Here is a 16,706-nt window from a genome sequence, read left to right on the forward strand (position 1 = left end):
TACAAACTCTTCCTAATCATCATTAGGCATTTCGAAAACCTTTTTTCTTGCTTAAACACTGTTGTTAGTGATTAGCTTTAAAAAGCACCTGAGGCTGGAGCCCAGCTGAAGGTTAAAGATGTGTCAAACCTGTAACTACTCCCTCTCTCTGTTATTCTGAAACCTCTGTATAGTCAAAGGTCTGGAGTTTGTAATTTGGGTCAAAATCATCCTTAGCTTTTGCAAAGTGGCTTCCTTCCTCTGCCACAAGAGATTGTAAACTATCACAAATCAGTAAATCACAGAATGCTCTACTTGGAAGATCCATTGGAAATAATAATTTTCCCACTCCATCATTACACAGATGAAGAAATTGAGATCCAGAAGGGGCAAGTCATTTCCAGCTAATGAAGGAAAGACTCAAGGCCAGAAAATCTTGGGAGATAGTGGTAATGAAGGCATGCCGGGGTATAATCCCCAATTCAACTACCCTCTGTTTGGGCATTTGACTTATTAATTTCATATCCTTTGTAAAATAGAGATAATAATAGTATCTTTCCTTTAAGGGTTAAGATAATTAAATAAGGTAATGCATATGAAGGTTTCAGAATAATGGCTCACAAAAAGTGAATAGCTCATAATTGGTGTTATCATCTTCATTGCCTTCATCATCACCATCATCATCGTCATTGATGCTTTCACTTTGACATCCACCTTCTGTAGTTGGAAGGGCTACAGAGTAGATAGAAGGATTAAAAATGAAGAATTACAGCTATGAGGAGAGTTAATTTCAGATATTCCTCTAACATTTCACCTAAAGCTTCATGTGATGACTTGCATATTAAAACTGAGAAAATATTATCTAAAACCCACCATTGTTTAGATTCCGTATGGGGGTGATTGGATTCACTTTTTAATCCCTGAGTGTGTTGCTCGTAGTTAACTTTCAGTACGTATCTATTGAATGTGAGTAAATATCTATTGTAGAGGAGTAGAGAGAGTGATGAATTAGGTGTTAGGCAATGTGGATTCTCATCTGCCACTTTCTAGTTATTTGGGCAGGTCGTTTAACTTACCCCGGCCATGACATTCTCATTTGTAAAATCAGTTGAACTATGATCTTCAAGTTGCCTCTTAGCTCTAAATGTAGGATTCTAAATAATGTAACAACCAACATAAGATTACAATTTTTTTTCATGTTTTATGTCAGACAGGTAATGTACTGACCTTGTAGTAAGGTTTGAGGGAGGCACATCTTACACATGAGGTGAAACCCCAATCATCACGCTTATGAACTATACAAAAGGATCAAAATGACAATTTTATCACATCAGAAAAGAGCACTAAAACTCTGCTTATGTACATAGGAACTGAGTTCTTCTGTGATCATTTTCAGATTATAATAGTAGAAATTTTTTTGAACGCTTGTTTTTTACCTTCTCTCTCCTGGAGCTGGGGAACTCTACAGTCCATTGGAATCAATTCAGATTTTAGTCTTAAAACTTTGAGGGTTGGGTCAGCTTCTTAGGTATGCAATAAGGTGTGGCAACTCTCCTTAGTATTTATGAGCTGGAAGGCTCCTTATTTCAAGGAGTGGCCTCTTCCAGAGAGTGCCTGAGCTGGAGTTTGGTAACAACTCCCTGATTCATGTAGAGGATGCCTCTAGAGTATGTGTCAAATGTTTGACCTTGAACACAGCAGAAAAAGAAATACAGACTTATTTAATCATAGACTGAAATGCCATGATTTCAGTCTAATCTGCTAATTTTCAAAACCAGACTGGAATTATATTCAGGAACTATGCTTGTTGTAAACTGGGCTGTGTTTGTGAGCACACGTGTGTGTTTGTGTGTGTGTTTAATTGAACAGTTTAGAAGTTAAGTATTGAGGGCTTCAGGTATTTACAATAAGCAAACAATAGGAATTTTGCTGAAGGCGGTCATAGTTGGAGAGGGGACATTCTATGAATGATCATTTTGCTTTTCATTCATTGTGTATTTGGTCCCTGACTACAATATTAGCCATTTAATGTTCTGTGGTCTAAATCTACACATTTTACTTGGATGGACTAATCATTTCTAAAATATCCCAAGTAAAATTTTATTAGTTTCAGTCCTTTTCCCCTCCCAGCTTCTTGATGTTTGGAAGGGTTTGACATAGTACTTGGCCACAGTGAAGGGGCTACATAATTATTGGAGAAACACATGGTTAAGCTAGATTGAAGGTGAAAGAAGATTGGTATTTTGTGTCATAGTTTTTAGTGGACATAATGTTTCTAGTGACATTGTGATGAGAGTTTTGGGTAAAGCATCAACTTCATACCTGTGAAATGACTGCAGAAATTTCCAAATGTCTTTTTACCCTTTTGTTCCTAATAAATGACCAGACCATGTCCTTAAGTGGCCCCATTTTTCCTGGAATAATGAACAATAACTACACTATGATTTCTGGTGAATTTTTGAATTTTATTTTTGATTTAATGATTTATTTTAGAATATTAATGATACCTAATATATGAAAGGTCAGAAAATACAGATAATGTCCACCAATGTAAAATTACCACGCGTAAAACCTTTTGAACTTTGGAGACAAAAGCTCTAATTAAGTGTATGTGTATGTGTATGTGGAAATAGTTGGAAATGGTGATAGCTACAGCAATTCATGAATTGTTCTCATGGGTAAATTAAAAGGTTAACTCATGCAGTTCTGCTTTATCCCTCTGTTTTTTAGCTTTGATGATTGCCAGAACAAAGTGTTGGCTCTGCCTGGCTCTTTGGTGAGAAATACAAAATTTTTAGCAATTAGAATAAACCTTTGAAATGCAAAGAATTTCATATGTTTATGGCATATAATCCAGATAATTAAGCACTTAGTTTGTTTCCTAAAAATGGGTGACCGTGTATGAGTTTTCTAATTCTTCTCTGCTTTGGTGAGTTATTTTATGTTTGTGAAGTAGAAGGCTGCTAGCACTTATTTTGTCATTTTCCAGCTATTTTATTTTTTCAAATCCTAGGAAAATGTATACAAAGCGTATAAAATTAAAAAAAATTCTACATCTGGTCTGTGAGTGCTCCAAGCACATTTTTATAGGTTAACTTGCTTACTTTACATTTAGTATAACAATTCTGTTAGGTGGAGACTGTGCACAATGATATTGGCTTCTAGTCCATGTCCCTCTTTGTTATTTTATATAAAGATATAATACCAGAGATAATAAAGGTGGCAGTTATTATTATTATTTTTTTGAGACTTGGTGTCCCTTGGTCATCCAGTTTGGAGTACAGTGGTGCCATCGCGGCTCACTGCAGCCTCCACCTCCAAGGCCCAACCTATCCTCCCACCTCAGCCTTCTAAGTAGCTGGGACCACAGGCATCCACCACCACCTGGCTAATTTTTGTATTTTTTGTAGAGATGGAGTCTCACCATATTGTTCATGCTGGTCTCGAACTCCTGGTCTCAGGTGATCCTCCCATCTCAGCCTCCTAAAGTGTTGGGATTACAGGTGTGAGCCATCACATACAGCCATGCAGTGATTTTTATGAGAACCAGAATCTAGGGATGATATGGTTTGGATCGTGTCCCTGCCAAATCTCGTGTTGGAAGGGGGGCCTGGTGGGAGGTGATTGGATTGTGGGGGTGGATCCTTCTTGAATGATTTAGAACCATCCCCTTGGTGCTGTTCTGGTGATAGTGAGGGAATTCTTGTGAGAGCTGGTTGTTTAAAAGTGTGTAGCACCTCCCCCTTCGCTGTCTTGCTCTTAGCTTCTGCCATGTAAGAAGCTGGCTCTCCCTTTGCCTACTGCCAGGATTGGAAGCTTCCTGAGGCCTCCTTGGAAGCAGAAGTCACTAGGATTCCTGTACATCCTGCATATCCGTGAGCCAATTCAGCCTCCTTTCTTTATAAATTACCTGGTCTCAGGAATTTCTTTATAGCAATGTGAAAATGGACTAATACAAGTGGTTAGATACAAATATGATTTGTGGATATTTCTGGTCATTCTTTTCCATTTATTGAGCATGGTGGAAGCTGGTTCAGTCTTTTCTCTACCCTGACTATCACCATTAAGGGCTGTCTCAGTGTCCATATGGATGATGTATACGCTGTCATACAACATTCTAGCATCCCTGACTTTCTCGTCTCATACCTGCTTTACCCTTATTTGGTTTCTGCAGGAACTGCATCTTACTGGGACTGTCCTAGATTTAAAATATTAAATCCCACTAACAATCTTTCCTGTTTAGCTTTCTCACTGCTGCTGTATTCCCTGTATCTTTTCTTTGCCGGCTTCCAGTTTCTAGATGATCCCTTCTCTGCCTGTCCCATCCCATTCTCATAGTCCATAACCCATTCTCCCCCATAGTTCCTTCCCTGATCACTCAGGGAACATCACTCTCTTGCTGGTATCCTCAATGGCCTTACCCCTTTGTACTTCATTTGTAATGTACGCTGCCAGCCCTTGATTTTGACCTGGCATCTTTTCCTATCTTACCTAGTGGCTGCCAAGAGCTGCTTGAGGAAATCACTCTATAAATAAATTTATCATTTCCATCCTTAGCTGGAACGTCAGGCAACTGTGGACCATCTTGCATTTGTGTCCTTGTGCCGCTGGCCTGTTTCCTGCTGAACTCTTTTCACTCCCCCTAAGCCTTCTTGCGACCCTCCTCCACCCTTTCTTCTTTTAGTAGAAGGCTTTCTCTCTGTTAGTTTCCTAGGGCTGCCCTAGCAAAGTACCACAAACTGTGTGACTTAAATAACAGAATTTTTATTGTCTCACAGTTCTGGAGACCAGAAGTCTGACAAACAGTAGCAGAGTTGGTTCTTTCAGAGGACTGTTAGAGAAGGCTCCATTCCAGGCCTCTCCCCTTAGCTCTAGATGACTACCTTCTCCCTGTGTCTTTTTACATTGTTTTCCCTTAATGCATGGCTGTCTATCTAAATTTCCCCTTTTTACAAGGATACAAGTCATATTAGATTAGGGGCTCACCCTACTTCAGTATGACCTCTTAATTTAATTACATCTGTACGACCCCCTTTTCAAAATAAGATCACTTTTGGAGGTACTGGGGATTAAGACTTCGATATATGAATTTTTGGTGGACACAATTCAACCTGTAATACCCTCCAACTTCTTAGAGCCCTTAATACCGTTAGGTGTCCACTCCCTGTCAACATCCTGCCCATTCATGTACCCTCATTTGCTCCAGTCTTACCTCCTTTTTTCCCATTGATCTCAGAGGGGGTTTTGTCCTTTGTTTTGTTCCAGGCCAGTTCCTCCTCCTGTCTTCTCAATTCCTTTCCCTCTTTTCTACTCCAGAAGCTTACATAATTGATTCTTTCCTTTCTTTTCTATGTTTTCTGCCCTCTCCTTTTTCTAGATACTTTCACCATAGGCTCTGAACATGCTTAAGTCTTCCCCATCTCGTCCATAACTTCAGCCTTCTGTCCTCTATGATCAGTTTTCATGCTCTGATTGAGTGGTTGATGTACACTTGACGTCAGTGTGGCTGACTCAGCTTTCTATTCTAACCTCCACATCCAGATGTCCAACTGCCCACTAGAAGTTTCTGCCGCTATGTCTCACAGTCACCTTGATTTCAGCACATATCATTAATTCTTGTATTTCCCCAAGCATGCATCTTCTCTTGTTCCTCTCTCTGCTATTGGCTGTACCAGCCACATGATTTTCCAAGCTAAAAACCTGATGCTATCCTAACCTTTTCTCCAACCCCGCATCCAGGTGTTGGCTTGGTTTTTGTTCCTTGCTGTCATATCCATTCTCACAGCTGATGTGCACACTCAGCTTTGTCATCTCTTCCTGGACTTGGAGTAGTTGTATAACTGACTTCCCTGCCTACGACTTGCCTCCTGCTCCAACAGAATGATGGGTCTGAAATACAAATTTGCCGATCCCCTGCTTACTGCTTTAAAAGGTGCAGGTTTAACTCCATACTCCTAGCTTATCTTTCAAGGCCTTTCACGATCTATCTCTTTCGTACCTTTTGACTCTTATCAAACAGTTATCTTTGTGTGTTTTTTTTTTTTTTTTTTTGAGATGGAGTCTCACTCTGTCACCCAGGCTGGAGTGCAGTGGCGCAATCTCGGCTCACTGCAACCTCCACCTCCAGGGTTCAAGTGATTCTCCTGCCTCAGCCTCCCAGGTAGCTGGGATTACAGACGCCCACCACCACACCCAGCTAATTTTTGTATTTTTAGTAGAGACGGGGTTTCACCAGGTTGGCTAGGTTGGTCATAAACTCCAGACCTCAGGTGATCCACCCGTCTTGGCCTCCCAAAGTGCTGGGATTACAGGGGTGAGCCAGCACACCTGGCTTCAAACAGTTATCTTTTATTTTCGTGACTTCATTATCATTGCAGCTGCTGCCATCTCAGTTCAGAACCTTTTCACTTTTACCTATTTTAGTTCAATAAACTCTTCATTGGTATCACTGCTCCATCTTATTCCTCCACTCAGCCTTCCCAAAACATCTTTCTTGTCATAGTACTCCCCTGTTCAAAGATTCATGCATCAAATGACGTTTGTTTTATGTCAGGCTGGATATGGTCTCAGCCTGACTCTTGATCTAGTTCAGCCTCACAGGCATTTATGGGTTGACCATCTCTCAGCATCTTACAGGGCTGGGCCTGGGTGGAGATTCAATCTCACTCTCTCTTATAGTAAGATTTTATAGGCCAGGCACGGTGGCTCACGCCTGTAATCCCAACACTATGGGAGGTCGAGGCAGGTGGATCACTTGAGGTCAGGAGTTCGAGACCAGCCTGGCCAACGTGGTGAAACCCTGTCTCTACCAAAAATATAAAAATTAGCTGGGTGTGGTGGTGGGTACCTGTAATCCCAGCTACTCGGGAGGCTGAGGCAGGAAAATCGCCTGAACCCGGGAGGCGGAGGTTGCAGTGAGCCGAGATTGTGCCACTGCACTCCAGCCCGGGTGACAGAGAGAGACTCTGTCTCAAAAAAAAAAAAAAAAAAAAAAGATTTTATATTACTTTCTGTACTGTTTTATTTTCACTGTGGTCATATCTGCCAGTCCTAGATGCTATGAACCTTCCATGCAAGAGGTCTAAAAGTTAGACTGTTCTTTAATTATGCCAGTAATCCAGAAAGTCATTATATTTCAAATTCAGCATTTAAGATAGCTGAAAAAGAACATCACTACCTCCTTAATTCTCTCATTGGAAATTTAGTTTTAATTTTCTGATGCTTAAAACTTTCTGTGCTTCAGTTTTTCCTTTTTATAAATGTTTGATCATATTTACCATCTCCCTAATTATGGTAGACATAATTATCATAATTAGGTCTAGTCCCAGACAGTGGCTCAAATGTCTGCGTAGTGCTGTAAAGATTCAGAGAGGAAGTACATGTCACAAAGTGCAAGATGTATGACATTTGGGAGAATTAGTCACTTTCAATTTGTAATTCTCAAAAGGCAGAATATTACAGAAATGGAAAACATGAGTAGTGTCCTCTTTCCGTTGTGAGCACCCTGCATCCTGGTGGCAGGCTGTATAGCCTGTAGGAAGTCTCTGCTGTAAGGGTGGTTAGTGTTCCCTCCTGGGCAGTGCTCTGATTTGCATGTTTGAATTCATTTGTTGAAAGCTGACCTTTGGGCCGGGCCTGGTGGCAATCCCAGCACCTTGGGAGGGATCACTTGAGGTCAGGAGTTTGAGACCAGCCTGGCCAACGTAGTGAAACCCTGTGTCTACTAAAAATACAAAAATTAGCCAGGCGTGGTGGCAGGTGCCCGTAATCCCAGCTACTTGGGAGGCCGAGGCAAGAGAATTGCTTGAACCTGGGAGTCAGAGTTTGCAGTGAGCTGAGATCGTGCCACTGCACACCAGCCTGGGTGACAGAGCGAGACTCTGTCTCAAAAATAAAAAAAAAATAAAAAAAGACGCTGACCTTTGACGTAGGAAGTCTTTCTGTACAGCCTAACTACTCTATTTTCTTCAACAAGTGCAAAATGGGCTCAGCTGCAGTACATTATGCCTATTTTCCTTCTGACTGGAATTTGAGTCATCAATTTAGAAATTTTTATATTGCTGGGTTGTGATTGGGATGGCTTCTCCTATTAGGAACCATAGCAATCATTGAAATCAGTGAAGCCAAGGTGGGTCAGAGTTTTCTCAGGACTGGACCATAGATTCCAGTCCTGAGTGTTTGAGACTATTTTTTATAGTCCCAAACACTTTTTTTTTTTTTTTTTGAGATGGAGTTTCGCTCTTGTTGCCTAGGCTGGAGTGCAATGGTGCGATCTTGGGTCACTGCAACCTCTGCTTCCTGGGTTCAAGTGATTCTCCTGCCTCAGCCTCCCAAGTAGGTGGGATTACAGGCATGCGCCACCTGCCTGGCTAATTTTGTATTTTTAGTAGAGACAGGGTTTCACTGTGTTGGTCAGGCTGGTCTCAAACTCCTGATCTCAAGTGATCCACCCGCCTTGGCCTCCCAAAGTGCTGGGATTACAGGCATAAGCCACCGTCCCCGGCCTAGTTCCAAACACTCTTAACTCTTATTATTCTTGTCATAAAACTTATAAAAGGCATAATTACAAGATATTGGAACCAGCAGTTTGCTTTCAGTTTTGCAAGCTTAATTTCTTTAGGTCTCATCAGCGTCTTAAAGGAGCTTTCATCATTTTAAGGGAATAATTGAAGTAATGTTCACTTTCCCTTCTGAATCTATTTTATTTTCAATGTGTAAAGTTCTGGTTATTTTTCCAACTTACTATTTATTTTTTAAGTTTTCCTTCTTTCTTAGCAACTTAGTTTTCTTAAATTTCTTTTTAAAATTAATTTTTTTAAAAAAATAATAAAAAAGATGGCATCTCATTGTATTGCCCAGACTGGTCTTGAACTCCTGGGCTCAAGCAGTCCACCAGTTTCAGCCTCTCAAAATGCTGGAATTACAGACATGAGCCACTGTACCTGGCTGTCTTTTAGTTTTATTTTATTAACTCTTTTGAAATGAACTGTTGTTTCTTTTAGGCATATGAGCCTGGGAATTTTCTTAAAATTAATTAATTTATTTATTTATTTTGCCTTGGTAAGTTTATTGTGACCTGGGTGTTCCACGAGCATCCTAAACTTAGGCTGGGGATATGGAAAATTATTTTACAGTGGTTTTAGGAAAAAGCCAGGTATTAGCAAAAAATTATAAGATTCTGAAATCATCTGCAAGTATGGCATGTCTTATAGTGCAACATTATATGATTAATTTTTTAATAATGAAATTAATAGTTTTCCTGTTTTTCAATAGCTACTCTAAATTCTATGATAATGATGAATCTTATGTGTATGAGTAAGGAATGTGTTGAAAAAAAATTTTAAGGTTTTTATGACCCATGTAGTTATAATACGATAGAAAAAAAGTTTTCAATATGCACTTTTATACCTAGATGAAAATGCATCAGGCAAGTACTTATTCGACCTTTCACTGATTAAGAATATCTTTCTCCAATCTTGCAAGTTACAATTTAAAAGACATTTGGAATTGCTTAGAGAACCCAGGGAGTCCTGGATTCTACAATTCTGTGTGCTCTTTTGTGTTTTCTCAGTCTCTGACTACCCTCATGTAAGATGTCTATAAAGTGTGGTATTTAGAATAAAACTATGATGTTTTTCAGAGTTTGGGAACTATTCTAGTCTAGCAGATCTCGAACACGTTATAACTCTGTGTTCTGATCAGCTGAAATATTGAAGTGTGTGAATACTTTTCTTTAAAAAATGAGTATATTGAAGTCAGTCTTTCAATTATGTTTTGGTATTTTTTTTGAGTGGGAAAGAAGGGGGCTGAGTTGCAGTTAGAGTACCAGGAATTTGGCTTATTCCAGATTTGCCCATGGGAATGTGCCAAATATGAAATTATAACCTGTGACATATCTCTTGGATAACTTAGTTGTCTTGGAGTATTAGTTTTTCTATTTTAACGGATTTTCAAAAAAGGAGATTGCACCAGTTCTATAAAGCAGTGATGGGCTGTGGTAGAGGTGGAGGGTGAGAGTTTTCAAAGTGCTCTGTAAAGATTTTGGTGCAGGTCTCTTCACTTCCCCTATCAAAATATTCACGCACCTTGAAAATTTTGCTGCTGTAGTTAGGAAGGGTTGTTATTGGGGGTGTGTCATATCCCTCAAGTGAGTTCAGAGTTTGAGAGCCTTTCTTTTAAAATATCTGTTGCTGAATTATTAGGAGTTGAAGATGGATATTGGTACAATCATATGCAACCTTAATTTTTTTTGGAACAGCTCTTGGTTTTAGATAATGCTTTCTGATTTTTGATTCAGAAAATATAGTCTTCTTAGTCCTAAAATTGTGTATTTATTAATATCAAATTCATAATCCAGAAATTTTAGCCAAAAGAAAAACTAAAACAGTGATACAGAAATTTCTAACAAAGAAATGGATAAGTAAGCATTATTTTATAACAGAGAAAAATGAGTGAGAATAACTTATGGTTACTTTTGATTTTAATGAAAACATTTTTTATTAAAAAATATAGGTAAAGAAGAGAGATGTTAGTTACAGTTATTCAGGGCATGAATTACAAATTCTTTTGTGTTATAGGTGCTCGTTTATTTTAAATCTTCAGCTATATAGCTCTCTTTGTATTGTCTTCAAGTCAATATGATGGAGAATGTCCTGCAGTGCCTGATTCTCTTCTCTTAAAAGGCAGACTATTTAATCTTACAAATGAGCATCCTTGGGTCATTACATATTGGGGTTCAGGTGTGCAAAAGGCTTGGTAACATATGGCTTGTCCCCAGATGCCCTAATTGAGTTCAAAACTTTCCCCAAGAGGTTTGCATTACTTTATCTAAATGATGTGTTACATGTGCAACAAAAAAGGTGTTTTAGTCATGAAAGGAAAAAAATAAATGTGTACTTGCAAGATACAATGCAAATTGTACAGTGTACATTGCACTAATTTCTATATAGTTATTAGAAGATAAAAAAGATTAAAACCCATAAAAGTGACATTAATTGGATGACCACAGTTTTGGATGATGCACTTTGATGATCTTCAGCATTCCCTTTAGTTACCTTATTATATCATCATCATCATATATATATATGTGTGCCTGTGTATATATACACATATTTTCCTCCATTTTGATTATTTTTTTTTCAGGCAAGATAGTTAGGCATATTAAACTCAATGGTGGACTTTTTTTTCAGCTTCAAAACCTTACCTCTTATCACAATTACATGTGTTTCATTGAATAATTTTAATATTTGCTATTAAGAAAAGTAATTATGTTCATGGCAGAACATGTATAAAATAGAAATTATTATTTACAGTGAAACAGCCATTGTATGTAGAGTATGATCTCGGTTTTGTAAGATTATAAGTATCCTCTCCATGGGGGAAAACATCTGAAAAAAAGGAAATACAACAAATGGATAATGGGGAGATTGGGGTTTATTGAAATTGTGACTTGCTCAGAGTCCCTTAGCTAGAAGGTGGTGGTTTAATCTAGTATTCTAACCTAGTCTCTCTGCATCCAAACTACGCTGCCTCCCAGGAGAAGGGAGAAAGGGAGAAATAACATCTAGGTACTACTACTACAGGTGCAGCATATAGTTGGGAAAACAAAGTTCTTACAAAGAAACAACTGATTTTGGTAGTAATTCTAGCAGATGAATTACTGCTAGAATTAGGCCTAAAAAAGGCCTAAAAGTGAACCTTAAAGATTCCTGCCATAGATCTATGTCATTTTTGAACTGAGTTACACACATTTTACAGAGAGGAAACTGAGACCCAGGGAGATTAAATCATTATGTTACTAAATAATGTTGCTGAAGAGAACATGGTTGATTAGTCGTTGTGAAATCAAGGGAGTTTCTTTGCTGAATTACTCTTTAGGTTTTAGATTTCAGTTTCAAGGTTACGTTAAAACTAAGCTTGTATTGCCATTTTTATCTGGATTTAGGTGGGGAGTGGGTGGATTGTTTGGTGAGATGTAAACTTGATCCTTCGGGTAGTAATTTGTTTAGTAAAAATTTCCTGCTAGACATGAGGGCTCTGTAGTCAATGAAGATTATGGAAGGTTAACTATTGGTTGAGGTACCATGGACCACCTTGTGATATACAGACTGGTTTGAGCTGGAAGGCATGATGAGAAAACTGCTGTGTTTTAACTAGCATGTTCTGAAAAAAGTGTCAGAACATCTTTCAATGGGTGTAAATTGCCTTCACTGAGCAAGGCAAATGGTTAGTATTGAACAGAAAATGTCAGATAATAAATTCATTCATTTTCTTCGAATCCTGAATATATACACTTGGATTATTAGCTTGTGCGTGTGAAGCCACTCTGGCTTCATTTTTATTTCATATTATGACAGCTAAAATCTTTGTGAAGATTAAAAATATGGAGGAAACAGACAGGTTTTTAATATTTACATCTTAGAAAGATGAAGACTTTAGGTGGGTATAGGGAGAAACATTCAATACTTTGGATTCTTTTTTATTGGTAGAGTGAGTGCTAAGAAAAGGGATAGACCAATTTTTTTTCTCTCTTTCTCTCCTTTTCCTTTACGTAAACATAAAATGCTTCCAATTCACTGGATTTTCTTCTATGCTTCCAATATCATTGCATTTTCTTCTTTCCTTTTTCTTTGTTCTTTCTGAAAACACCTTGCTTTTGGTGGTTTAGTTGCCAGCCACTGGGCTCCACCTTGCCCTCAAGCCTTTCATGACCCAGGTGCTGGGTCCAGTGAATGAACTTTTGGTTGCTTTTGCCATCTTTGTACCAGACATAATACTTTTTTGATGTGCAACTGGTGCAGGCAAGGGAAGATGAAGGGGGAAGTCTCAGGCAGGAGTTAGAGATGTTTTATAATGATTGGCCGTCTTCTGCTATTAGAGCACAGAATTATGGCTCCTAAAAAAAGACTTGGCTTTTCTGATGATCCCCACTGCATTTAATGGACTAGTTCTGCAAGTATTTACATTGTTTGATGTACTTTATCTTTCCTTTTTACCATCAGTTGAGTTGGAAAGATTTGAGGACACATACAGAAAGAGTGATTTTAGATTCTTTTCTGATACCATTTGGACTCAGAAGTAGGAGAATTTGTGCCTTATTGTGTCTTTTTCTTTTGCTTTTTGATGAGAAGGAGCAGGGAAGTAAAAATCTCAAGAGAGCAGAATCAGTTTTCCGGTCACCAAGCTCATTAAGTTAATATTTACTTTTAAAATGAATGTATTTGCCAGCCCTTCCCACTGTTTGTTTGGGAAGCATTTAACATACATTTGAGAGCCTCTAACTTGTTTCCACCTCCATTGGGTATTTCACTTCTCAGACTGGTGGCGGTGAGTGTGATGCGTGGATCCCAGTTGTAACATCTGTTTCTGTCACTTCAATATTACGTTTATCTTGAGGGTAAAGGAAGGGAAAGAAATGAAGCTAAGGCAATTTTTCCCTGTTTTTCTGTGTCTACTGCACAATATTGATTGAATGATATTTAACATCTCTAGTGCTTTTAAGCCCATTTCAAATAACACAATTGACACATATGTAGGGGTTTAAGGAAACTGGACATTTAAATAAAAGATACAGCCTGAAAACTCAAAGATTACATTTGAAAATCTCTTTCCAGTGTTCCATAAAATGATATTTACAGTTTTTTTGTCTCTTGATACCTGCAACTTTCTAGATGAAAGCTGTTATTTTTCTTTAGGCCTCAGATGAGTATTTTTTCACTATTAAAAATTTTAATGAACATAAAATACTGATTATTTTAACTTCTATAAATATTTAATAACCAAGGTCTTCAGGTACATTGTATCGTAATTTCTGTTGGTTTTTTAAAGCTTGCTGTGTGAGAGAACTGACCGTTATGTTTAATTATTTGAAGGCTGTTTTGGGGAATGTAAAAATTGATACTGAAGGAAAAAAAGAACTGGGTGCGGTGGCTCACACCTGTAATCCCAGCATTTTGGGAGGACGAGGTGGGCGCATTGCTTGAGGCCAGGAGTTTGAAATCAGCCTGGCCAACATGGCAAAACCCTGTCTCTACTAAAAAATACAAAAGTTAGCTGGTGTGGTGGCCCAAGCCCGTAGTCCCAGCTACTTGGGAGGCTGAGGCAGGAGAATCGCTTGAACCCAGGAGGCAGAGGTTGTAGTGAGCCGAGATTGTGACCCTGTACTCCAGCCTGGGTGACAGAGCAAGACTCTCGAAACAACAACAACAAAAACAAATACAGAGAGATATGACTCTTTATTCATGATCTAGTTGACATCCCCTTGCTGTTACAAGTATGTATATTAAATGTTTCTGTAATACATGTCCTACAAGATGATGTATCAATGTATAGTATTTTTGTCTAGTTGGCAACCTGAGAAATATTTATGAGCTTTCAGTGGGACATCTACCACTTCAAGGATCAGCAAGGCACAGACAAGCCACAGGAATTATTAACTCAACAAATTATTAACTTATCAAATTAATTATCTAATTATTAACTCAGTTGACTGGGCTGGGTATTTTTCTTTGAGATTTCTTTTATTTTTGGTGGATCGATTGATTGGCACTGGCATGTCAGGGGCAATGACAATGCTGTCTCTAGCTGAAACTCTGTGCTCTCCAGACGGCGGTGAGTGACGCTTCTCCACCTGAACAACCTCAGAATCTGGGTGTGAGTGGAAAGTGCAAGAGCGCTGGAATCTCCTTCACCCATCTTCCAGCTTGTCCCCGTATCCCTATTTATAATCTGTGTGAGGCCATCTAGTAGTCTCCTTTTCCTTATCTGTACAACAGAGGTAACCCTCTCCACCTGGCAAAGTTGTAAGAATTAATGAAATAATGCTTGTAATTCCTGTAAAGGGTCTTGGCACGGAGCAGGCACCACCGTTTCATAGAGCTGGGCTGTGCCTCTCAAAGCATTGGCACATGCAGTGTGGTGCTGCACGTGACATTTGGGCCATCCTCCACATGAGTCCTCACATCTGTGGGCACAAGCTGAGGGGCACATGGAGACTCCTGGCTTTATGATGGGAACACCAGCAGTCTAATTTTAGGAACCTCCACATTTTAAAGAGGGGGAAACTGAGTCTGTAAAGTCCAAATTTAGGCTTCCTCCTTTTGTTGCCCCACTTCTGCCCATCACAGTGGCCTTGCTATGACCACGTGTTACTGGATCTGGCAGAAAAGGAATGTCCACTGGTGGGGTTTGTATGCCAGGTGGTTTTTGGTGGATGGGAGTTTGCATCCCACAAGACAGTCAGGAGCTCTGCATATGTGAGCACTACTAACTCATGTTTTAGAAGGAAACAGCGTTCACATATGTCACATCTACAGTGTGCATCTGGTCACAGGATTTCCAGAGGTCTATGATGATTACCCCAGATACAGAGGGAGGGAAAATCTCCCTGTACCTCCTCGTTTTTGGGTTGGTGCCTCGCCAGAGGTTTTCTGATTCTTCTTGGTTCCCTTTCTTGTTTGCCTGCATTTGTACTGGCTCATGTTTATTGTCTGGCAGGGGAAGCCCCTTTGTCTCTACTCCATGTGTCTTGTGTTCATGTGTTGAGTAACTGGGGCATTTTCTCCATTGTAGACATCACAGTCTTGGGACCTGTTGTTTGAGCAGATGTTCACATCCTTAAAATACTCTCTTCCCCCTGCAAGACTGTGTAAGGTTCCTGAGGGCAGAGACAGCATTTCTACCTCTCTCTGAATCTCATTCTTTCAGAACAGTCCTTTGCACCTAGTAGGTGCTGAATAAAAGTTGCTTGAGAGAATAAACAGATAATACTTTTGGAGTCTTTTAGGTGAATTTGTTCCCATAATTCAGACTTTTTTTCCTTCCTTCCTTCCTTCCTTCCTTCCTTCCTTCCTTCCTTCCTTCCTTCCTTCCTGCCTTCCTGCCTTCCTGCCTTCCTTCCTTCCTTCCTTTGCCACAGGAATTCACCAACTGTTTATTCATGGGGATGGGATTTATCTTAAATGTTTTTTCTGTATGGACCTTATTTAATTTTCCCAGTAATGTTGGCACTATTATTTCTATTTTTACAGATGGGGAAACGGAAGTTTAGAGAAGTTAAGCAACTAGCACAGGGTCACAGGGCTAGTGAAGCTCCAGAAGTGGAGGTGACCCAGACACGGCCCTCACGCCAGTTTAAGTAGCAGCTGGAGAGACCTGCTGGATTGTTGGCCTTTGAAAGGGAACATTGAAAGTTGCTTGCATTTGATGATGATTGGGTTACATTTACTTGAATTGTGTAACTTTTAAGTTGCAAATTAATGCTAAAAGTGTATTAGGGTAGCCTTAGGCTGTGGGACTAATTGAGAAACGAAGTACAATGGAAGTGCTGCAAGCAAATGGATTTTCCTGCTTAGAGCAGGTATTTACTATTAATCCTGTGGCATTTGCCTTAAGGAGTTGGAGTCTTTCTTAGCTAATTAAAAAGTACCGGTCAGATGTTGAGTGTTGTCAATAATTTAGTGCCTGCATCTTTTTATCCCTGTTGTTTGGAAACTACAATTTGGAATATTCTGTGCACATTTAAAAAAATAAATGACTGTCTGTGTGGTAATGTTTTTGCTTAGTAAATGTATGCATTATCATCTTGAGCTTATGAGTTTTCTGTACTTTTCTTGAAACTTTTATTAGTAGAAAAACTGTCAATCTAACGCGGTGATCTTTCTCTGAAGTCCTCAGCATGCAATTGGGCATAAAAGTTGTGATCCCTGAGCACATGTTTTGGGGTTAAT

At 39.2% G+C, this 16,706-nt stretch overlaps 1 protein-coding gene and 1 non-coding gene across 2 annotated transcripts in view, besides 2 other annotated features; one reads left to right on the forward strand and one right to left on the reverse strand.

Moving 5' to 3' along the window:
* CDK14 (cyclin dependent kinase 14) overlaps window positions 1-16,706 on the forward strand; it is a 614,270-nt gene that overhangs the window by 9,500 nt on the left and 588,064 nt on the right. The window lies entirely within an intron of this gene.
* On the reverse strand, window positions 1,184-1,288 carry LOC124901839 (small nucleolar RNA U13). Its single transcript, XR_007060675.1, has one exon. It is a non-coding gene; the product is annotated as a small nucleolar RNA U13 (small nucleolar RNA).
* Window positions 5,382-5,582: a silencer, noted in NCBI's record as "peak6628 fragment used in MPRA reporter construct". NCBI's record gives its function as "represses an SCP1 promoter by STARR-seq MPRAs in K562 erythroleukemia cells {active_cell/tissue: K562}" and the evidence as "EXISTENCE:reporter gene assay evidence [ECO:0000049][PMID:32103011]".
* Window positions 7,271-7,390: an enhancer, noted in NCBI's record as "active region_26247". NCBI's record gives its function as "activates an Ori minimal core promoter by ATAC-STARR-seq in GM12878 lymphoblastoid cells {active_cell/tissue: GM12878}" and the evidence as "EXISTENCE:reporter gene assay evidence [ECO:0000049][PMID:35858748]".

Source organism: Homo sapiens, chromosome 7, assembly GCF_000001405.40.
Source record: "Homo sapiens chromosome 7, GRCh38.p14 Primary Assembly".
In the NCBI taxonomy this organism is placed as follows: Eukaryota; Metazoa; Chordata; class Mammalia; order Primates; family Hominidae; genus Homo; species Homo sapiens.